The 21,577-nt window shown below is 51.9% G+C and overlaps 2 protein-coding genes across 32 annotated transcripts, besides 11 other annotated features; one reads left to right on the plus strand and one right to left on the minus strand.

The window, feature by feature from the left end:
• Positions 4,043–4,092: an enhancer, noted in NCBI's record as "active region_9815". NCBI's record gives its function as "activates an Ori minimal core promoter by ATAC-STARR-seq in GM12878 lymphoblastoid cells {active_cell/tissue: GM12878}" and the evidence as "EXISTENCE:reporter gene assay evidence [ECO:0000049][PMID:35858748]".
• Positions 4,253–4,552: an enhancer, noted in NCBI's record as "active region_9816". NCBI's record gives its function as "activates an Ori minimal core promoter by ATAC-STARR-seq in GM12878 lymphoblastoid cells {active_cell/tissue: GM12878}" and the evidence as "EXISTENCE:reporter gene assay evidence [ECO:0000049][PMID:35858748]".
• Positions 4,253–4,875: a biological region, named in NCBI's record as "H3K27ac-H3K4me1 hESC enhancer GRCh37_chr15:75182299-75182832".
• Positions 4,342–4,875: an enhancer, noted in NCBI's record as "H3K27ac-H3K4me1 hESC enhancer chr15:75182299-75182832 (GRCh37/hg19 assembly coordinates)". NCBI's record gives its function as "activates a minimal SCP1, AML or CMV promoter by ChIP-STARR-seq in naive and primed H9 embryonic stem cells {active_cell/tissue: H9 hESC(naive and primed)}" and the evidence as "EXISTENCE:reporter gene assay evidence [ECO:0000049][PMID:30033119]".
• On the plus strand, positions 4,426–16,603 carry MPI (mannose phosphate isomerase). 7 transcript variants are annotated; one of them, XM_047432536.1, is made up of 8 exons: positions 4,426–4,585; positions 4,911–5,038; positions 5,763–5,963; positions 7,045–7,186; positions 7,522–7,704; positions 10,536–10,709; positions 11,395–11,603; positions 11,896–16,603. In XM_047432536.1, exons 1-8 carry the CDS (start codon positions 4,582–4,584, stop codon positions 12,112–12,114), a joined length of 1,260 nt encoding a protein of 419 aa, XP_047288492.1. In that variant the 5' UTR covers positions 4,426–4,581; the 3' UTR covers positions 12,115–16,603. The 7 variants fall into 7 exon arrangements, with proteins under 7 accessions (XP_047288492.1, NP_001317301.1, NP_002426.1 ...); NM_001330372.2 differs by having other exon boundaries at positions 4,426–4,473; positions 4,822–5,038; NM_002435.3 differs by having other exon boundaries at positions 4,426–4,473.
• Positions 4,673–4,752: an enhancer, noted in NCBI's record as "active region_9817". NCBI's record gives its function as "activates an Ori minimal core promoter by ATAC-STARR-seq in GM12878 lymphoblastoid cells {active_cell/tissue: GM12878}" and the evidence as "EXISTENCE:reporter gene assay evidence [ECO:0000049][PMID:35858748]".
• FAM219B (family with sequence similarity 219 member B) lies at positions 12,347–21,235 on the minus strand. Of its 25 annotated transcripts, none has more exons than XR_007064481.1 (7): positions 20,971–21,235; positions 20,662–20,749; positions 19,538–19,615; positions 19,048–19,096; positions 16,988–17,167; positions 16,334–16,447; positions 14,376–14,521 (listed from the first exon to the last, which is right to left on the minus strand). XR_007064481.1 is itself a non-coding variant. In XM_017022433.3 (6 exons), exons 1-5 carry the CDS (start codon positions 21,182–21,184, stop codon positions 17,003–17,005), a joined length of 594 nt encoding a protein of 197 aa, XP_016877922.1. In that variant the 5' UTR covers positions 21,185–21,235; the 3' UTR covers positions 12,347–13,656; positions 16,988–17,002. The 25 variants fall into 25 exon arrangements, 8 of the variants coding, with proteins under 8 accessions (XP_016877922.1, XP_047288839.1, XP_047288840.1 ...); XR_243118.5 differs by having other exon boundaries at positions 16,988–17,170; NR_135853.2 differs by adding an exon at positions 19,366–19,423 and having other exon boundaries at positions 14,376–16,447; positions 16,988–17,170.
• Positions 13,096–13,595: an enhancer, noted in NCBI's record as "H3K4me1 hESC enhancer chr15:75191053-75191552 (GRCh37/hg19 assembly coordinates)". NCBI's record gives its function as "activates a minimal SCP1, AML or CMV promoter by ChIP-STARR-seq in naive H9 embryonic stem cells {active_cell/tissue: H9 hESC(naive)}" and the evidence as "EXISTENCE:reporter gene assay evidence [ECO:0000049][PMID:30033119]".
• Positions 19,845–20,651: an enhancer, noted in NCBI's record as "H3K27ac hESC enhancer chr15:75197802-75198608 (GRCh37/hg19 assembly coordinates)". NCBI's record gives its function as "activates a minimal SCP1, AML or CMV promoter by ChIP-STARR-seq in naive H9 embryonic stem cells {active_cell/tissue: H9 hESC(naive)}" and the evidence as "EXISTENCE:reporter gene assay evidence [ECO:0000049][PMID:30033119]".
• Positions 20,652–21,456: an enhancer, noted in NCBI's record as "H3K27ac hESC enhancer chr15:75198609-75199413 (GRCh37/hg19 assembly coordinates)". NCBI's record gives its function as "activates a minimal SCP1, AML or CMV promoter by ChIP-STARR-seq in naive H9 embryonic stem cells {active_cell/tissue: H9 hESC(naive)}" and the evidence as "EXISTENCE:reporter gene assay evidence [ECO:0000049][PMID:30033119]".
• Positions 20,652–21,577: a biological region, named in NCBI's record as "H3K27ac hESC enhancer GRCh37_chr15:75198609-75199413".
• Positions 20,938–21,237: a silencer, noted in NCBI's record as "silent region_6660". NCBI's record gives its function as "represses an Ori minimal core promoter by ATAC-STARR-seq in GM12878 lymphoblastoid cells {active_cell/tissue: GM12878}" and the evidence as "EXISTENCE:reporter gene assay evidence [ECO:0000049][PMID:35858748]".
• Positions 21,298–21,577: an enhancer, noted in NCBI's record as "active region_9818". NCBI's record gives its function as "activates an Ori minimal core promoter by ATAC-STARR-seq in GM12878 lymphoblastoid cells {active_cell/tissue: GM12878}" and the evidence as "EXISTENCE:reporter gene assay evidence [ECO:0000049][PMID:35858748]".

The following is a 21,577-nucleotide window of genomic DNA, read 5'->3' on the forward strand; positions in this document are numbered from 1 at the left end:
GTCTTGCTATGTTGCCCAGGCTGGTCTTGAATTCCTGGACACAAGTTATCCTCCGCCTTGGCCTCCCAACGTGTTGGAATTACACGTGTGAGCCACTGCACCTGGCCAAGATATTATTTTCATTTTTTTTTAAATAGTAATGAGATCTTGCTATGTTGGCCAGGTTGGTCTTGAACTCCTGGCCTCAAGCCATCCTTCTACCTCTGCCTCCTAAACTGCTAGGATTACAGGCCTGAGCCACTGCACTCTGTCTTTAGTTGTTGTTTGTTTTTTTGTTTTTTTTTTTATTTTGAGACGGAGCCTTGCTCTGTCGCCCAGGCTGGGGTGCAGTGGCACGATCTCCACTCACTGCCATTCTCCTGCCTCAGCCTCCCGAGTAGCTGGGACTACAGGCGCCTGCCACCACGCCCGGCTAATTTTTTGTATTTTTAGTAGAGACGGGGTTTCATCGTGTTAACCAGGATGGTCTCGATCTCCTGAACTCTATCTCATGATCTGCCCGCCTTGGCCTCCCAAAGTGCTGGGATTACAGGCATGAGCCACCACGCCCAGCCCCTATCTTTAGTTTTTATAGAGAACTAAACATCTTGTGACTCTGGCTTACTTGGGTGGCTGCTTAAGTTACTATTACCTTCTTCCTTGGTGGGTTATTCATTTACTTCCCTAATTGCTGGGTGCAGGGCTAGCTAGTTCCTGAAATCTCCCTTGAAGGGACTCAAAATTTTCCCTTTATCTCCATACTTGCGGGCCAGAGGGGCACCTAAGAAGGGTCTGTCCTCCATATCAATGTCTCTCTGGGCCTGATAATATAAAAGGATGCACATTCCTCAGATAAAATCTCTTTTCTCAAGATAGACCAGCAAGAGGGAAGAAGTAGAAGGTTCTAGGTTCTCCAAACACCCTAGTTTCTCTTACAGATAAGTTTTTCTGTATTGGGGGAGGGTGGCATGGGGTTGGGGGGTGGTCTGTATCTCCCAACAATCTAAGTTCTTCCTTCACTTTGCAGGGATACTATGAGCAAATAACCCTGACTCTGTTTTCTGTGGTAGTGGTAGTGGGGAGTGCTCCAAGAACTCCTTGAGCCTCATTAGTCCCTCGTTCTTATCTGAGAAGGTTCCTATTGCTTGGTGTATTAGTCCGTTTTCATGCTGCTATAAAGATACTACCTGAATTGGGTAATTTATAAAGAAAGGAGGTTTGGGCCAGGCATGGTGGCTCATGCCTGTAACCCAGCACTTTGGGAGGCTGAGGTGGGTGGATCACCTGCAGTCAGGATTTTGAGACCAGCCTGGCCAACATGGTGAAACCCCGTCTCTACTAAAAATACAAAAATTAGCCGGGCATGGTGGCACGTGCCTGTAGTCCCAGCTATTTGGGAGGCTGAGACAGGAGAATCGCTTGAACCCGGGAGGCGGAGGTTGCAGTGAGCCAAGATCGTGCCACTGCACTCTACTCTGGGTGACAGAGTGAGACTCCATCTCAAAAAAAAAAAAAAAAGGAGGTTTGGCCTGACGCGGTGGCTCATGCCTGTAATCTCAGCACTTTGGGAAGTCAAGGCAGGTGGATCACCTGAGGTCAGGAGTTCGAGACCAGCCTGGGCAAAATGGTGAAACCTCGCCTCTACTAAAAATACAAAAATTAGCCGGGCATGGTGGTGTGCACCCAGCTACTTGGGTGGCTGAGGCAGGAGAATCACTTGAACCTGGGAAACAGAGCTTGCAGTGAGCTGAGATCATGCCACTGCACTCCAGCCTGGGCAACGGAGCAAGACTCAATACTCAAAAAGAAAAAATAAAAAAAAAGAAAGGAGGTTTAATTGACTCACAGTTCTACATGGCTGGGGAGGCCTCAGGAGCTTATAATCATGACAGAAGGCAAAGGGGAAGCGAGGCACATCTTAGATGGCAGTAGGAGAGAGAGCGAGAAAGTGCCACACTTTAAAACCATCAGCTCTTGGGAGAACTCACTCACTATCATGAGAACAGCATGGGGGAAACCACCCCCATGATCCAATCACCTCCCACCAGGTCCCTCCCTCAACATGTGGGGATTACAATTCAAGATGAGATTTGGGTGGGGACACAGAGCCAAATCATATCACTTGGGTAGTGGAGATGAGGGAAAGGAGTGGTATTCCAAAGCACGAGGTATTGAGTACGTTGTTTCATGAGTCTTTTTTTTTTTTATTTATTTTTTATTTTTTTATTGATCATTCTTGGGTGTTTCTCGCAGAGGGGGATTTGGCAGGGTCACAGGACAACAGTGGAGGGAAGGTCAGCAGATAAACAAGTGAACAAAGGTCTCTGGTCTTCCTAGGCAGAGGACCCTGCGGCCTTCCGCAGTGTTTGTGTCCCTGGGTACTTGAGATTAGGGAGTGGTGATGACTCTTAACGAGCATGCTGCCTTCAAGCGTCTGTTTAACAAAGCACATCTTGCACCGCCCTTAATCCATTAACCCTGAGTGGACACAGCACATGTTTCAGAGAGCACAGGGTTGGGGGTAAGGTCACCGATCAACAGGATCCCAAGGCAGAAGAATTTTTCTTAGTACAGAACAAAATGAAAAGTCTCCCATGTCTACCTCTTTCTACACAGACACGGCAACCATCCGATTTCTCAATCTTTCCCCCACCTTTCCCCCCTTTCTATTCCACAGAACTGCCATTGTCATCATGGCCCGTTCTCAATGAGCTGTTGGGTACACCTCCCAGACGGGGTGGTGGCCGGGCAGAGGGGCTCCTCACTTCCCAGTAGGGGCGGCCGGGCAGAGGCGCCCCTCACCTCCCGGACGGGGTGGCTGGCCGGGCGGGGGGCTGACCCCCCTACCTCCCTCCCGGACGGGGCAGCTGGCTGGGCAGAGGGGCTCCTCACTTCCCAGTAGGGGCGGCCGGGCAGAGGCGCCCCTCACCTCCCGGACGGGGCGGCTGGCCGGGCTGGGGGCTGACCCCCCCACCTCCCTCCCGGACGGGGCGGCTGGCCAGGCGGGGGGCTGTCATGAGTCTTGTATTATCCATTTTATTATTCCTTAGTGCATGGTAAAGCTTCCTTTAAAATGCAAGCTGATTTATTTGAGCCAGAGGACCCCAGGGGAGGTGAGATAGATACCCACACCTGGGCAGAGGATTACAGGGAAAACGGCACCCGCTCTTTCCCCTGGGCACATATGGTAGAGGCTGTGGGAATGAGGGTATTGCAGGGGTGATGAGGGTAGAGTCAGGACTGTAACTCCTCATTCCAGGTTCCCCGGAGCTTTGACTGTTGTGCTCCTAGCCTCAAGCAATCCTTCTGCCTCTGCCTCCTAAGGTGCTAGGATTACAGGCCTGAGCCACTGACTGTCCTCCTCCTAGGAGGCTGTTGACTGAGAAGGTCTGGATGTCAAAGCCTTTCACCACAGGATATAGCCAAGATTACTGCAGAGCCAAGGCCCAAGGCCATCCTTCCCTATGCACAGCTCTTCGTAATTCCCCTGACTTCTGTGTGTGCAACTTGTAAGCAGCTCAGCCTGGAGTAGAAGTTGGGGTTCTGACTTTCTACAGCACCTGGGACGGGAAGGATCAGAGGAGCACAGGGAGCTGACTGCCTTATAGGTGTCTCACGTCATCCCATCTGACCCTCCAACAAGCATGTCAGGCTGGCATTATTCACCCCATTCTACAAAGCTCAGAGCAGTGAAGGGCCTTGCATGTGACATTTACCATCATCATCACTAGTATGTCCCTACTCACATCACAGCAATTCTTTGCTCAAATCTGTAATTGCTGAGACTCGAAGTAAAACCCAAAGTCTTCACAATAGCAATAGCCTGCAAAGCTCTGCCCCCCTCCTCTCTTCTCTGACCTCCTCACTGCCCCTGTCTTACTCACTCTGCTCCAGCCACAGTGGCCTCCTTGCTAGCAGTTCCCTCCCCAACACGCCCGGCACAGTCCCACATTCCCGCCTTGCTCTGGCTTCCGCTGTGGCTGTTTCCTCCCCGCAGAACACTCCTGCCTTCCTCACCGCCAAGTCTGGACTCAAACCTCACCTCCTCAAGAGGCTTGCCCAGACAGCCTTTTATATTCTGCAAACTGCCTCCCACTGCCACCTGCCCCCTTACTTTTTGTGGCCTTGACCTTTCAACATACTACATGATTTGCTTACAATACTTGTCTGTCTTGCCTTCACCAGAATGTAAGCGCTCTACAAAGGCAGAGGGAAGGCTATCTTGCTCTCTGATGTATCCTCCAGCCCTTAGAACAGTCCGTGGTACTTAGCAGGTTTTCAGTACATCTGTGCCCGGCGATGGAAAGAATGAATGAATAGTGAGACCGAAGATCGCGGCCGTAAGCCTCTGGGCACGGGTGCCCCGGGGCCTGGCGGAACGCTCAGGGAACTACATTTCCCGTGAAGCTCTGGGCGCAGAGGGCCGCGGGGGCTGCCGGGAAAGGCATACGTGCTTAATCCTGGTGCAGGGGGCGAGCATGGCCGCTCCGCGAGGTGAGCCATTGGCTGGGGTGTCGGCGAGTGTGTTCGTGGAGCGCGTCCTGGGGACGACTCCCGGCATTATCGGCCAGGTTGAGTCCGCTCCTGGCATTCCGCGGAAAGATGGGTGGGTGCCGGGCAGAGGTGTGGCCACCTGCGATGGGGATTGACCTCCGAGGGGAGGGGGCCCTTCTAGACGTCGTGCCGTGGGATAGGTACCTTCTGCTCCCTCCCCGCCACCCTGCCTCAGATCAGCACAAGGTCCTTACTGCTGCCCATCTGACAGTTGGGAACATCGAGGCCTGCAGCGGAGGGGGGTCTCATCCAACAGCCTACAAAACCCTTATTTGACTCTGTCCCCAGTGAGCACCCCCAGCTCTTGCCTGGTTTCCCGGGACACTAGGGTGGGGCCTGAGGAGTGGAGTGGCAGCTGACCCTGTCTGTGCCCCTAGTATTCCCACTTTCCTGTGCGGTGCAGCAGTATGCCTGGGGGAAGATGGGTTCCAACAGCGAAGTGGCGCGGCTGTTGGCCAGCAGTGATCCACTGGCCCAGATCGCAGAGGACAAGCCTTATGCAGAGGTGAGCCCCGGGCTGTATTTCAGCCCACTTTACCCGCAGGTCAGGAGAAAGGGCCTGAGGCAAGTCATAAGAATCAGCTGGGAAGGGTGAGGCAGCAAGGAGGGAGGAGACCCACTTGGCTCTTCAGGCTAATGGACTAGATAGTGTTATCAAAAAGAAGAGAGGTTTTGTCATAATAGGCTGGGATTTCCAGCACTCTCCTTCCCCCAACCACTCTTAGCACTTAGTGAATTTTAATTCAGCCCTCTTTGACAATTAAGTTTTTTTACTTTGACTATTTTTTTGCATTTTTATTAACCTAAAATATTTCTCCTGCCTATTTAGTGGAGAAAAAGCCAAAGCATAGGAAGGCTTTCGCCTCTGCTTCTGAAACTGGAAGATGTATGTTAACCCCTGAAAGAATCATTTAAGAGTCATAGTTTTTCTGCTACCTTGACAGTGCAGATGTCATTCTCCTCTTTGGACAGACAAAGAAGATACATCTAAAGAAGGGAAATAACTAGTCCAAGTCTTCATAGATGGCTAGAGGCCGAGTCTGGACAAGGGCCTGGGTCTACTGCCTCCCTGTATGTCCATGATGGCATGAACATTTGTATCCAGACCTGGGAGGCCTTTCCCAGGACTCAGTTGCCCTGTGGGGAGCACAGCATAACGGATTGGGACAGGCCAACTCAGGGTGGCAGGTTTCTTCCCCCTTCCCCTCCCAAGTTTCCTGTCTTTCCAGTTGTGGATGGGGACTCACCCCCGAGGGGATGCCAAGATCCTTGACAACCGCATCTCACAGAAGACCCTAAGCCAGTGGATTGCTGAGAACCAGGACAGCTTGGGCTCAAAGGTCAAGGACACCTTTAATGGCAACCTGCCCTTCCTCTTCAAAGTGCTCTCAGTTGAAACACCCCTGTCCATCCAGGCACACCCTAACAAGGTAAAGGACAGAGTGCGGTGCAGAGGTCAGGGTACAGAAGGGCTTATGCTAAGGCCCTCCCGTGACTTTTACTGCCACTTTTACCCCACCCATGCCAGGCTCCTGCCCAAGGCCAAATCCAGGCTGACAACTCCCAATTTAGCTCTGCAAAGCCAGATGGTAGTGACACATGCAGCAACTAAGTCTAAGCAAACAGCTCACCGGCCTGTGCCAGGGGAGTTTCTCTAAGCTCATTCCAAGGGGCTTGTTCCTGGTCTTCCCTCATCCAACCCATGTCTATTCATATCTGCCATTTACTCATCTGCTTTCAGGAAGAGTTCAACTTGCAAGGCAGGGCAGGTACCCTCAGCCCCACCCCCATGGAGTCTCCCTACACAAGCCGGAGTCCCATCCTAAGCAACTGTGGATCAAAACTCCTTTTTTTTTTTTTCTGAGACTTGAGTCTTGCTCTGTCGCCCAGGCTGGAGTGCAGTGGCGCGATCTCGGCTCACTGCAACCTCCTCCTCCCAATTCAAGCAATTCTTCTGCTTCAGCCTCGCAAATAGCTGGGACTACAGGCACGCGCCACCACACCCAGCTAATTTTTGTATTTTTAGTAGAGATGGGGTTTCACCATGTTGGCCAGGCTGGTCTTGAACTCCTGCCCTCGTAATCCGCTCGCCTCAGCCTCCCAAAGTGCTGGGATTACAGGCGTGAGCCACCATGCCCAGCCAAAACTCCTTATTTCTAGATACACAAAGTAAGACCCAGAGAAGGGAGGGATTTACCAAAGCCACACAGCTTGTTAGTGTCAGAGCTTGGTCTGGTATTTGGGTTTCCTGATTCACAGGCCAAGCCTCTTAAAGTCTGCCCCAGCTTTTCCCTGATTTGCCCCGGGGTTGCCCCTGATTTGCCCCTGCCCTGGGTTGGCTGAGCCCCAAGTTTCTGCAACATGCTTTGACTGGGCTCCTTGCCAGAGGTAGGTAGTCACTGCCATCCTGCAACTGGGGAGGGTGGACAGCAGGGGCTAGGTGGCACTGGTGTACCTGCTAGGTAATGGCTGTACCCTCACCATCCTCCTCTTCCCCTGGCCACCCCACAGGAGCTGGCAGAGAAGCTGCACCTCCAGGCTCCGCAGCACTACCCCGATGCCAACCACAAGCCAGAGATGGCCATTGCCCTCACCCCCTTCCAGGGCTTGTGTGGCTTCCGGCCAGTTGAGGAGATTGTAACCTTTCTAAAGAGTAAGTTGGGCAGAATGCTGAAGGCATGCGTACTGGGCCAGGGATACCTGGGGAACCAAGATGATAGGAACAGTGGCTGAGAACGGGTCACATGTCACAGGAACTGAAGGGCCTCATGAAGCAGTTTTTGGAGCCAGTGAGCCAGGCCAGTGAGACCAGGCTCAGGTGTGGTAGTCAAGGGCTGGTGGTGAGTGATTGGTTTCCACTGCAAAGTTTACTTAGCATTGCCGGCTCTTTGGTTAGGGCTGGGATGGAAAGGTGTCCTCCAACTCCCCACTTGTGTGGGTTCCATCTTACCATTCCTGATATGGGCCCTGGGCCTTGCCTTCCTGTAGAGGTGCCTGAGTTTCAGTTCCTGATTGGAGATGAGGCAGCAACACACCTGAAGCAGACCATGAGCCATGACTCCCAGGCTGTGGCCTCCTCTCTGCAGAGCTGTTTCTCCCACCTGATGAAGAGTGAGAAGAAGGTGGTGGTGGAACAGCTCAACCTGTTGGTGAAGCGGATCTCCCAGCAAGGTGGACACAGTTATATTCCTGGTTGGGTGCAATGCTCTGGCCTGGGCTTCCCAGCAGACACCAGACTCTGGGGACAGTTCTCAACCCCCTTGCCCAAGTGGAACACTAAAAGGGGCCCCACTTAGATGACCTGTTGGCAACTTAGCATTGCTTGCCTAGTCTTTGTGGAGCAGGGCCCTTCTTAGTTGAGTGCTGCTTCCCAACTGGTCATCTTCTCCAGATGGTTGGAGGCAGACTGGCATAGAGGACTCTTAGGATGCCTTCCACCTAGGCATTCTGAGATTTTCCCTAGCCCTGCAGCTGCCCTCCATGGATGGACTTGTATCTCGGGGCTAAAGAGGCAGGAAGGGGACACGAGCATCCTCCCTCTCCTGGAAAGGACTGATGCCTCCAGCACTCAGTCATTTGATCTTTCCTTTACCTTCTGTGTGCCCAACCTTGTGCTAAGAAGAGTTCAGGAAATGACTGTGATGGGTGTGGTCACTGTCACCCTAAAGGTGGGGAGTCAACACAAGCAGTAAGAAACCCAAAACAGAACAGACTCCCAGCAATGAGCTTATGTGGTGCAGGCGATGAGGTCTCAGCTTCTTAGCCTGGCAGCCACAACCCCTTCTCTAGGTGGCCCAGAGCTCTCTTTTTATTTTACCTCTACAGGTTTCCCATTACCTTTGAGCCTTAGGGCATTATTTATTTGACCCAAGCATATTTTTTTCTGTTCAGTGTGTGTGTGTGTGTGTGTGTGTGTGTGTGTGTGTGTGTGTGTGTGTGTGTGTGTGTGTGTGTGTGTGGTCTCTTTCTGTTGCCCCAGGCTGGAGTGCAGTGGTGCGATCTTGGCTCACTGCAGCCTCTGCCTCCCGGGTTCAAGCAATTCTCCTGCTTCAGCCTCCTGAGTAGCTGGGATTACAGGCATGTGCCACCACATCTGGTTAAGTTTTTATATTTTAGTAGAGACGGAGTTTCACCATGTTGCCTAGGCGGGTCTCGAACTCCTGAGCTCAGGCAATTCACCTGCCTCAGCCTCCCAAAGTGCTAGGATTACAGGTGTGAGCCACCACGCCAGGCCCCTTGCCTCACTTTAAAGAAGCCTGGCTGGGCACGGTGGCTCACACCTGTAATCCTAACACTTTGGGAGGTTGAGGCGGCCGTATCACTTGAGGTCAGGAATTCAAGACCAGCCTGGCCAACATGGTGGAACCCCATCTCTACTAAAGATACAAAAATTAGCCAGGCGAGGCAGAGGTTGTGGTGAGCCTAGATCATGCCACTGCACTTCAGCCGGGGCAATAGAGTGAGACTCTGTCTCAAAAAAAAAAAAAAAATGCTGGGCATGGTGGTGTGTGCCTGTAATCCCAGCTACTCAGGAGGCTGAGGCGCAAGAATCACTTGAACCCAGGAGGTGGAGGTTGCAGTGAGTCTAGATTGCACCACTGCACTTCAGCCTGGGAGACAGAGCAAGACTCCGATTCGGAAAAAAAAAAAAGAAAAAGAAAAAGAAAAAAAATTTAAAAATTAAAGAAGTCCACCCTTGCCACTCTACCCAGGCTGAGCTCATTTTCCCTTGTCGTTTCCAGGACACATTTTGGCCCTCAGCGCATTCTGCCTCATGCTCTCTGGAGCAGACCGAGAGAGATTCTCTGAGACATAGAACTTTCTTTTTTTTTTTTGAGACGGAGTCTCGCTGTGTCACCCAGGCTGGAGTGCAGTGGTGCAATCTCGATCACTGCAACCTCCGCCTCCCGGGTTCAAGCGATTCTCCTGTCTCAGCCTCCCGAGTAGCTGGGATTACAGGCACGTGCCACCACACCTGGCTTTTTTTTTTTTTTTTTTTGTATTTTTAGTAGAGATGGGGTTTCACCATGTTGGTCAAACTGGTCTCGAACTCCTGACCTCGTGATCCGCCTGCCTTGGCCTCCCAAAGTCCTGAGATGACAGGTGTGAGCCACCGCGCCCAGCTGAGACACAGAACTTTCAGTGCTAAAAACTAGAAAGTCGCCGGGTGCGGTGGCTCACACCTGTATTCCCAGCACTTTGGGAGGCCTAGGTGGGAGGATCCCTTGAGTTCAGGAGTTCGAGACCAGCCTGGGCAATATAGCGACCCCCTCTCTCTGCAAATAATAAAAAACTTAGCCGGGCATGGTGGCATGCACGTGTGGTTCTCGCTACTCAGGAGGCTGAGGTAGGAGGATTGCTTGGTCCTGGACAGTTGAGGCTGCAGTGAGGTATGATCGTGCCACTGCACTCCAGCCTGGGTGACAGCGAGACCCCGTCTCAAAAAAAAAAAAGGGAAAGCTCGGGCATGTTGGTTACCCTTCATGAAACTCTTTTGCGTTATCTCCCTAGATTTTGAGCTCCAAGGGCAGTGGTTCTCATACAGGGGACATTTGGCTGTTGTCTGGAGCCATTTTTTGATTGTCAAAACCCAGATAGGGGTTGCTAGTGGCATCTTGTGGGTGGAGGCCAGGGAAGCTGCTACACATCCATCAGTACACAGGACAGCCCCCACAATAAAGAATTACCTAGCCCAAATGTCAGTAGCGCCAAGGCTGAGAAATCCCATCCTGAAAGGACCATACTCTAGCTCTTTTAGTGGCTAGTATAGTCCTGGGCATATGAATAGTCAAGATATGATGAAAGATGGTATTTGTATGGACTGGAGTATCAAGCAAGGCTCGACCCCCAAAGGGCTGGAGGCGTGGCCAGAAGGACAGGGCCACTTTGGCTTCTGGATTCCTGTGGCAGGGACCTTTTCCTAGGACTCCCTGGCCAATGTGGGGCTATGAACAGCACTGAGTATCCCCCTAAGTGACCTTGGGGTGCTCTGTGACCCTCAGCGGCTGCCGGAAACAACATGGAGGACATCTTTGGGGAGCTTTTGCTACAGCTGCACCAGCAGTACCCAGGTGATATCGGCTGCTTTGCCATCTACTTCCTGAACCTGCTTACCCTGAAGCCTGGGGAGGCCATGTTTCTGGAGGCCAACGTACCCCATGCCTACCTGAAAGGAGGTGAGCCACATTTCAGCAGTGAGCCCCACTGCCATCCCTGCTGGGCCCTGTTTCCCTATCTGGACAAAGGAAGGAGAAGGGTGGTCAAGGAGACCCCCAAGGACCTTGCAGCTCTGACCTCTGAGGGTTCCTGGGCTCAGCAAGCAACAGCTGGTAGGGATGATGAATGCATTTAGCATTGAACACGCCTTGAATCCTGACACCAACCCTGTGATGCCATGCTACTCTGATTTTAAGTCCTGCCAGTCAGTGTGGGAACCACAATTTGAACGCAGGCTATATTGGATCAAAGCTGTTGTTCTGTCACAGCCTTTGTATGTCTGTCCTACCTACCAGGGATTTTTACACTAAAATATGCATGTTGCCATGGAAGGATGCCACCTTTCGACTGTTGGCTGCTTATCCACACATGCCTCATGCACAGGATTCTGGGGTAGAAGTGGGAGACTACAGAGTTGGGGCTCCCCAACCCCCAGGGGTTAACATGACTCCCCTCTGACAATAATGGGTGACCTGTCACCTGTTTTTGGTATTTGATATCTTAACCCCATTCTCCCAGAGAATACAATTCATGGAAATTTTTACCTAACTTGGCATGGGGTTCATGGAGCTCAGGTTAGGAGGCCCAGAACTGGAGAGCTAAGGCATACTTCATCAGCTTAGCACATGACGACTGTCTCTCCAGACTGCGTGGAGTGCATGGCGTGTTCAGACAACACAGTTCGTGCTGGCCTGACACCCAAGTTCATTGATGTGCCAACCCTGTGTGAAATGCTCAGCTATACCCCTAGCTCCAGCAAGGACAGGCTCTTTCTCCCAACACGGAGTCAGGAAGACCCCTACCTCTCAATCTATGACCCCCCTGTACCAGACTTCACCATTATGAAGACGGAGGTGAGTGAGGGGCTATGATGGGTGTCCTTCGTGTGCCATGAAAATCTCTGGCAAGGGTCACGATGTGGAGGACACCTGGGGCTGGGTTTCCTGTCAAGCCCACTTGGCGGAGGGTGGCCCCAGGGCCTGCCCATTCCTTCCTGTACCAGGGACCAGGCCTCTATGCTGACTGAGCCTGGGTTGTGCGAGAAGGTGGCAGAGCTCTCCCTCGTGCCCTGGGGACTGTCCTGGGCCCATGAGCTGATGAGAGCAGAGTCTGAGCTGCACTGCCTTATCATTTCTTCCTGCCCAGGTCCCTGGCTCTGTCACTGAATACAAGGTCTTGGCACTGGACTCTGCCAGCATCCTCCTGATGGTACAGGGGACAGTAATAGCCAGCACACCCACAACCCAGACACCAATCCCTCTGCAACGTGGTGGCGTGCTCTTCATTGGGGCCAATGAGAGTGTCTCACTGAAGCTTACTGAGCCGAAGGACCTGCTGATATTCCGTGCCTGCTGTCTGCTGTAAAGGCTGCAGCCTCCCCAGCTCTCCTCTGCCAGCCACCCTAAATTCCAGCCAACCTCACCTCCTCGGGCCCAGCTCAAGCCCCCTTCCTTGCTCTGGACCCCTTAGGTATACCCTGGAAGAGCTGGGGTGGGGGAGGAGGGAGCGTGAAGGTAGTGACTCCTGAACACACCCAGGTGGAACCATCTTTGGGGAGGAGAGGCCCGTGTGAGGGGTCTGATACTCCCTTTGTCTTCCCTCTCTACTCCTCGCTACACCTGAGCCAGGCTCTTGCCAACTCTGTTCCAGCCTATGGCTTTAGGCTAGCTGTTAAATATGTGACCCAGCATTAGCTCAGCATCTGTCAGAGCAAGAGACCAGGTAATTTCTAAGAACAGGGTTCTAGCGATGGGACTGCCCATTTCCTCAGCTGCAGAGGAGGAAAGGGAAAGGGTAGGCCTGTAGACTAACGCTGTTTACACCCTTGTTCTGTCAAAGCAATTAAAGATCACTTGTGTTGAGGCTGTGGGGTAATGAGCACTCAGCCTTTGGGGTACCTGTTCCTAAAGTGGGCCAAAAGAGCCCTCCCTACATGATGCCCCAGTTTTTGCTTTATTCCTATTTCATACAGCTTCTCGGGGGAGTGAGCAGGCTACACTCCAGAACACCGGTATGGGAAGGAGTGGGAGAGGAAGCCAGCTTTGGCCTCACAGGCACAGCTTGCAAGCAGGCCTTGGGTCTGCCCAGAGGCACAGCTTGCAAGCAGCCCTACAGAGAAGGTGACTCAAAGGATACACCAGTCACCAGTGCAAGACTCTTCGCTCCTGTTTTTCTCTTTTTTTTTTTTTTGAGACGGAGTCTCGGTCTGTAGCCCAGGCTGGAGTGCAGTGGCACGATCTCGGCTCATTGCAAGCTCCGCCTCCCGGGTTCACGCCACTCTTCTGCCTCAGCCTCCCAAGTAGCTGGGACCACAGGCGCCCACCACCACGCCCAGCCAATTTTTTTGGTATTTTTAGTAGAGATGGGGTTTCACTGTGTTAGCCAGGATGGTCTCGATCTTCTGACCTCGTGATCCGCCCACCTCAGCCTCCCAAAGTGCTGGGATTACAGGCGTGAGCCACCACGCCTGGCCCGGCTCCTGTTTTTCAACTGGCCCTAGAGGAGGGGTCCGCAAACCAGGCTGGCAGGCCAGTTCTGGCCATACCTGTTCATTTCCATACTGTCTGGCTGCTTTCAAGCCACAGTGGCAAAGTTGAAGAGTTGCACTAGACTGTACGGCCTGCAAAACTGAAACCATTGACTGTCAACCACTTCTCTACAACATACTCAACTGTTGCAGATTACAGGGACTCAGGAACCGAATTAGACAATTTTCATGGCGAGGAGAAGCCCAGTTAGCTTTCCTAAACGGGCAGGAAGTGTGAAGGAGGGAATCTCCTGATGCCCTGCTCCAGGGGTGGCACACACCTGCAAGAGGCTGTCGGCTGTCTGCTGCTGCTGAGGTTTCTGACCTGCAATCGTAGATCCTGTCACCACAGACTAATCACTTAGTCCACTGGCTCCTTCCTGTGGGATAAAGGTTTAAATTCATGCAAAAGAATCTTTCTGGGCTTCTGCCCACACTAGAGTCCCTATACAATGGAGTTCCAGGAAACCACCTTCAAAAATCTCCTGGGTTTTCTTGCCTCCAAATTTTCTTCAGCTAAAAAACAATAAAGATGAGCTGGAAAGAAAAGGTCTGCTAAAGGGAACCCATTCTACAGAAGTGACTTGCAAGAGCCTATTTCACTCATGCCGTCCAGTGAAACAGGCCCGAAAGTGATGCCCAGTGGGAACAGCAGAAAGGGGAGGGAGTTTCCAGAAGGAATTGCTGTAGTCAGCTGTTAAGCTATTTCTTCATTTCAGGATATCCAGGATATTCTTAACTTTTATTTTTTTGAGACGGAGTCTCGCACTGTCTCCCGGGCTGGAGTGCAGTGGCGCGATAGCTCACTGCAACCTCCGCCCACTGGGTTCAAGCGATTCTTCTGCCTCAGCTCCTGAGTAGCTGGGACTACAGGCGCCTGCCACCACACCCAGCTAAGTTTTTGTATTTTTAGTAGAGACGGGGTTTCAGTAGAGACGGGGTGACAGGATCTACAATTCCAGGTAAGGTCAGGTTGGTCTCAAACTCCTGACCTTGTGATTTGCTTGCCTCAGCCTCTGAAAGTGCTGGGATTACAAGCATGAGCCATTGTGCCTGGCCAAGGCCTTTAAAATCCACTGCAACACAGACACAGCTCAACTAGTGTGATTGCATTTATTCTTATAAATGTACAGAGCTGTAGAAGTGCAAGCCAAGAGTTCTATAGAGTAGTACATAAACACCATATGGTACCACTCCTGCTGGGAGGTAAGCCTGGATACACCCCTCTCCTCAGGAAACTGTCACCTGCAGAACACACAGCACTCAGAATTAAGGCAGTTTGGCCCTGGGCACATTGGTGGTATTTTGGTATGTGGCCACTGGCCCTAAACAACTGACCATTTCTACCCTGCCTCACTGCACTGTCCCACCAGGTCCCTCCAGCTTTTTCTACAAGGTAACACCCTCCTACATGGGGTCAGCCAGCTCAGAAACCTCTTCTTCAGGGACAGTTGCAGCTGAATATGCCAGAGCTGATTATTACAACAACGATGCAGAGGGCCTTGGTTTTGGGGTCCTGCCACCCTCACCCCTAGAAGCTGCTAAACACCCAGGCCATTCTGCCCTGACCACCTCCCCAACAGAGATGTAGGTCTATACTTACCTTCCACAGCCACCTCCCAGCACACACTGGGTCCCTCTACCTGTGTTGCTGTCTTTCTTTACACTGTGCTACATTTGATCCCTTTCCACATGTGCACTTCACCTCTGCAGACACAAGAAAGGCCTGGACATGGTCTCTGCAGATGGGGAAGGGGTTCTGGATGGAGATGTTCTTGAGCTCTACAAGCATTTGCACAAAGTGCTCAGAATGTTGGCCACTGCATAGAGCTGCAGAGTCCCATTCCAGAACAGAGTAACCATCTGCCTCTCTTCCCAAGACCCCAAGCTGGCATGACTCTGGTCTCTGTCCTATCTCTCTGCTGTGATGCTCCTAGCTAGTAGAGTAAGTCAGCCCCCAGATACTGTATATTCCTCTCAACCTTCCATGGTTTGAGAAAAACACAAAGATAGATGTCCATCAGGCACTCACAGGATTACCATCGTAAGGATGGTTGTCAGACAAATAACAAATAAGGCCGTATCTTTTTATTAGACTTGCTCATCTTCTAGTCACCCCTTGTGGTAGAGCGAAAAGAGTGTGTTGTCCCTCTCATGCCTCTGGTGGTCACAGGACACTGAGTAAAGCAAGAGACTGGATACTTTCCCATGTAGAACCTATACCCCAATCCCGACTATTGGGCTGGGAACCCTGTCTATGCCCATTCAAAGCTCACCATGTGGGAGGACTGCTTGGGCCTGGGAGGTTGAGGCTGCAGTGAGCTGTGATTACACCACTGCACTCCAGCCTGGGTGACAGAGACCCTGTCTCCAACAAAACAAAGCAGAACGCTCACCATGGTTCTGAGTTAAGCCAAAAAACAAAACAAAACCTGTTGGAAAAATTCTAGAAAGAGGCTTGGTATAGAGTATAGCAAGATATACTCTCCAATTTGTGGGTAGGGGGTGTCACAGCAGAAATTATGCCTATTTCTGCTGTTTGGGCTGGGGGCTGAAAGAGGCTGTGTCACACCCAGAGGTCTGCTTAAAGCCCAATCCTGAGTATCCAGTAAGGCCCATGCTGTGACCAGAAGAATCTGGCAATAGAATGGTCCATGCTGGAGTGAAGGGAGGCCCTCTACACTGGTGGACTGATTTCCTCAGGCAAGGGTCTAGGAGCTGGCTTAGGTCTCTCTTACCCTTCCTGTCTGTAAGCCTCAGTCTAGGACAAAGCCCACACAGCTGTATACCCACTCTCACGAGTCCATTGCTACTTCTCAAAAGTTTAAAAAGTAAACAATAGGAAGGCACCGGACTGCTCCCTGTAGCTCCCTCTGCTGGTAATAATAAAAACTGCAGGCTTCTGGGGCCAGCCCCAGTACCTTCGACCTAATCTTTAGCTCAAAGACTGGGTGAAGAAACTCACCCAGACCAAGGAAATACAAATAAATAAATATGAACATGTCAGAGCAGTTTTTCTCTAACTAGGGAAGGGCAAACCAGAATCACTAAACTCACCCGGACGGTTGGACCAGTTGGGGATGCCCCAGGTCCAGGGATTCTGGAAGCCAGGATCCTGCTGTATCATTAAGCAACCTGCTATGATCCCTGTCATAGTTAGACAGGTGCAACCTGAAGAGGGACAAAAGGACTCACTTTATGCTGTCTTGAAGGTCAAGCCTGCAAACCATCTTAGAGCTAGGAAGAATAGAGCAAACGGAATTTCTCGAACTGGTCTCAAACAGTTTCTTTTTTGGATTGCCAGCTATAATAAACCATAAAGTGCTATTTTCTGCCTCCATTCAACACTATCTAGCACAGCCTGGGCACAAGAGCTCCCTTTTTGCCTCCCTGAAGCACTATGACAAATACCAATCAAGCTGTCTGCAAGTGTTTTCCTTAGCCACCTTTGTCACCCACCATAAGAACCAGAATTTTCTGTCTTGCCCTTATTAAAGTGACTTCTCCAAACTCTGCTCCAACAGCAGAGGAAAACTACAGAATTCTACCTATCAGCCCACAGCCCAGATGGGGGCCTCTGGCCTGAGAAGCAACAGGTAAGGGCTACCTGCAGGTCACTTTCTAGGGGTCAGTGACTTCAGTGCTCACTGCACTGTGTGAGCTATGAGTGGCCAACAGGGCTCTGTAGGCCTCATGGTGAGCAGGGCCCACCTTGGAGGGTAATGTCTACTGGAGGGTACAGGAAGAAGAGTCCCCAAGACAGCACCAGCAGCAGGAGCATGTTGAAGAGGCCATGGGCTTAGGGGGGATGAGGTCCAAGTCCTCGTCATCTGGAATCTCATCCAGGTGATACCCATCCTGAAGCAGCTGCCGGCTCACATCCTGGTTCACCTGCTAAGAGAAGGAGAGGAGGGAACTATAGGCCAAGATGCAAAGCAGAAGTAACTGCTACCCAAAAGACAGAACCACATTCCGTTACCAGGGCTTCCTGTCCATGTCCCACCCCAGGCCAACCCCACACATCCCTGGACTACAGGAGGAAGTACCACCTTCTCCTACTTGTGCCTCAGCCAGCAGTAAGCCTTAGTACTGTCCAGACTTCACTGTCACTGACCCCCAGGGATCTGTTCTCACTAAATCCTGAGGCATTCATGTAAATATCGAGTTCCCAATATGTTTGAAAATCAGTGCTCTGACAGTTCCCACTGGGAGCCCAGACTAGTCCCTATCAAAGCTGAAGAATATGGGATAATAACAGAACAATGGGCTAGCGTAGTAGAGCATGGGTTACAGTGGAAGGGGGTGGTGAGCAGCTTTGTCTACACACTGCTGGTTAGACTTATCCTTTGATGCCAACAGAGGTGGGTTCCTGCAAAGTGGAATTTGTTGGTTGGTTTCATCAGTTCACTGAACATAAGAAAAATAAGGCTGGGCGTGGTGGCTCACGCCTGTAATCTCAGCATTTTGGGAGGCCGAGGCAGGTGGATCACGAGGTCAGGAGATCGAGACCATCCTGGCTAACATGGTGAAACCCCATCTCTACTAAAAAATAGAAAAAATTAGCCAGGCGTGACGGCGGGCGCCTGTAGTCCCAGCTACTCGGGAGGCTGAGGCAGGAGAATGGCGTGAACCTGGGAGGCGGAGCTTCCAGTGAGCTGAGATCATGCCACTGCACTCCAGCCTGGGCCACAGAGTGAGACTCTGTCTCAAAAAAAAAAAAAAAAAAAAAAAAGAAAAAGAAAAATAAATGAGGCTGGGGAAAGTGTAAGACTTCCTCTTACACACAATCTTTGACACTCAGACATTTAAGGAGGACAAAATTTGCAAACTGCTCTATTCTCTGTGACAGAAACTCAGAGATTAGCCAAGATTTCCAGGAGAGTAAGAAAAGCAAGTGGTGTAGAGTCAGGTCCCCAGCACTTCACCTCTGTCAAAGGGAATGGGCTTCACTTGCCAGGATTTTACATCCCTGTTTTTCTATCTGGGACAGTCACTCTAGAAAAATGTCTACATGGCTATCCCAGGAGTGTTTTAGCCTGAGTTTTCATAGATGGAACAACTGAAGAAACAGAAGTTGTTTGGTCTGGAAGAAAGCAAGCTTGGTGAAAGATGGGCAGGGGAGAGACGGAAATGCTGATCTCAGAGAAACTAGAGTTGCTGTGTGACACTGGAAAGCAGGTCAAGGACCAATGGACCCATTCAGATTAATAAGGAAGATTTCTCTAACAGCTACTCAAAGAAAAAATTCTGTGTGTGTTGAGGGAAGGGTGGGTAGCAAGGCTCCTTGGAGGTGGTCAGTACCCAATTACAAAAAGCATTCAAGTAAGCACAGACTAGCAAACACTTAGCTGGGATCTATCAAAAGGGTTCCTTTTGTAAGCTGTGGCCTAGAAGACTTTTATTTTAGAGTCTTATTTTAGAGACAGGGTCTTGCTATATTGTCCAGGCTGGTCTTGGAACTCCTGGGCTCAAGCAATCCTCCTGCCTCAGCCTCCCTAGTAGCTGGGACTACAGGCATGTACCACCATGCCCAGCTTACATGACTTCTGAGATCATTTCTAGCCCTGAGTCTAAATGGTCTCCTCGATTCTCAACAGCCCTCCTTGGTCACCTATACCTCCACCGGGGGAAGAGGGCAGAGTGGAAGATCGTAGAACAGACCAGAAGTCTGGCACAGTGCTGTGCTCACAGCGGGCACCAAACAAGCATTTGGCAGTGGTGGTAATGCTGCCTGCAGCCTGGCCCTGCACAGAAAGGTGTTCTGGACTTGCCTCTGCAGATGAATACCCGGAGGAGTATCTGGATCCCAGCTCCCCATCACTAGGAGAAGAGGAAAACAGTCAGTTCCGGGAGGTACCTGTGGTGCACAGCTGTAAATCATCAGGCGGAGAGCATGCAAGGGCATCTGGAAGACTTTTGAAGCAAAGGCCACACACAACAGAACTCAAGTCCGAACAGGCCTTGAATAATACTGGTTCCCTCAATTGGTTCTGGCAGGGACAGGGTCACTCTCACTAACAATGCAAACATAACAGGGCAGGATGATCCCCCGGACATTGGTGCTCCGAATTCTAGAGCAGCACGATTACCTATGAGTCTTCTAACCAAGCCATCCTGGGAAGGGATATTGTTCAGAAGAGAACGGCCCTGGAATGTACATGAAGGGCCTTGGAGGAGACAGGGAACAAGCAAAGGCATCAGGCGATCTTCAGTCCCAGCCAAGTTGCTTCCCAAGGGGGTATTTCCAAGGGGAGCACTCACCTGTCAGAGTCGAGGGACACCAGGTTTTCATCTGGACTCTGGCTAAGAGCAGTATAGCCCTTGTTAAACTTCACTGACCTGAGGGGAGACGGGGGAGAAGAGACCAAACATAGATGAAAGCATAGGCATTTCACAGGGATAGGCAGAGTCCTCGCCCTGAAGGAGAAAGAATTGACTGCACTACTGACTTGCCTTCTCCCTGGTCACAGCCACCACTGCCTGCAGCTCCATGTACCTGGCTACAGTGCCTCAGAATGTGTATGTTCTCATTCTTTTTTTCTTTTTTTGGAGACAGAGTCTGGCCCTGTCACCCAGGCTGCAGTGCAGTGGCGCGATCTCGGCTCACTGCAATCTCCGCCTACCATGCTCAAGTGATTTTCCTGCCTCAGCCTCTTGAGTAGCTGGGACTACAGGCGTGCCCAGCTAATTTTGTATTTTTAATAGAGACGGGCTTTCACCATGTTGGCCAGGCTGGTCTCGAACTCCTGACTTCAAGTGATCCACCCGCCTCGGCTTCCCAAAGTGCTGGAATTACAGTCGTGAGCCACCACGCCCGGCCTGTATTCTACTCCTCCCATAGGTCTTGGAAAAAAGCACACCTCCCCTTGCCTGATCTAGGAAAAGCACCCTCTCCCCACTTATTTAATCAGAGGACACAAAAACTGCAAGTCTTTGGGTAAAAGGTTAGGGTTAACCTTCACTTCTCCGAGTTTCAACCCTCATCTGTAAAAGGAGGCACTGAATAAGGTTCTATGCAGCTCCGAGTTTACTATTCTGTTAAAAACAAACAAACAAAAACAGGTCTAGCCATTCCCACACTGCTCTTCGTCCTCATTGCTGGGGACTCCAGCCACCATTCTCCTCCCTAACAGAGGAGGAGAATGATAGTGAATGAGCCTGTGCACTCACAGAACTCCCTTATTCCGAAGCCCTTTATCTGATCCTATCACATCCTTAAAGGAAAAGAGAGATTGTTCCTCTTCCCATTTTAAAGATAGTGAACCTGACAGGTTGCATCAGGGGAATCGCTAGCTCGGCCTTAAACCAGAGCACCCTGCCTCCGTCCTGGGGATTAAAGCCTTCTCTAAAGCTGCTGGCACAGAGGAGGTGGCGCCTGCTGAGACCTTTTCCCTGAAGAGTCTGGGCGGTTCGGCGAGGCCCCCAGCATGCCTTTTCTCCGCAGAACGGCCTTGGCCAGGTCCCGGTGCTTCTCTGGAAGTTAAAGGACCCGGGTCAGCCGGGTCTTCCCCACTCCGCCGCGTCTCCCGAAGGCTGGGAGGCCGCTCTTTCCGAACGGATTTTGAGGGGCGAGAGCAGGCTGCAGCTAACCCCTTCCCTCCGGGGCCGAGGCCCAGCGGAGCTCCGGAACCCGCCCTGGGGACGCGGCCGCCCGCCCAGGGAGAAACCTCCCCCGACCATCGGGCCACACTCACGCAGCTTGGCTTGAATGGAGGGTGCGCGCGTCACCATGTATGGCCCCCGCTTTTCCACGGCCGCGGGGGTGCGCTCCCCCAGACGGAGGGCTCTATTACCGATCTGCCCGGAGGGTGGCCCCGCAGCTCCCGGCGCGCGGTCCCGAGCCCCGCTGGGCCGGGGTCCCGGGGTAGACAACCGCAACGCGCGCCCGCTGGGCTCCGCGGTCGCCATGGCCGGGCCCCGCCCTGCCGGATGGTGCAACCCCGCCCGTGGCGAAAGAGTGACCGGCCGAGGGAGAGGCGGGCTCTTTTAACAAGATGGCGGTGCGCAGGCGCAGGTAGTCCCCTTTCGGAGCTCTCCGGTTCGGTAGTCTGAGGACTTGGCCGAAATGTTCCGCCCTTCTTTTCGGGGGGACCGGGCAGTTCCGTTCTCGGTTTTGGGGTAGGCGGCTTGAGCCTGGTGATGGTTAGGCTTAGTTCTGTCTCTAGTGGAAATTAAATACTGATACTGTCGTGGGGCTGCGCGTGTGCGTCGGTCGGGTGCCCACGGTTTGAGTCCTGGCGCGCCGCACTCTGTGCTTCTCGCAGTGTCTCCTTGGGGGTCTCCCCACATGTGGGGCTGCCA

Source organism: Homo sapiens, chromosome 15, assembly GCF_000001405.40.
Source record: "Homo sapiens chromosome 15, GRCh38.p14 Primary Assembly".
Classification (NCBI taxonomy): domain Eukaryota; kingdom Metazoa; phylum Chordata; class Mammalia; order Primates; family Hominidae; genus Homo; species Homo sapiens.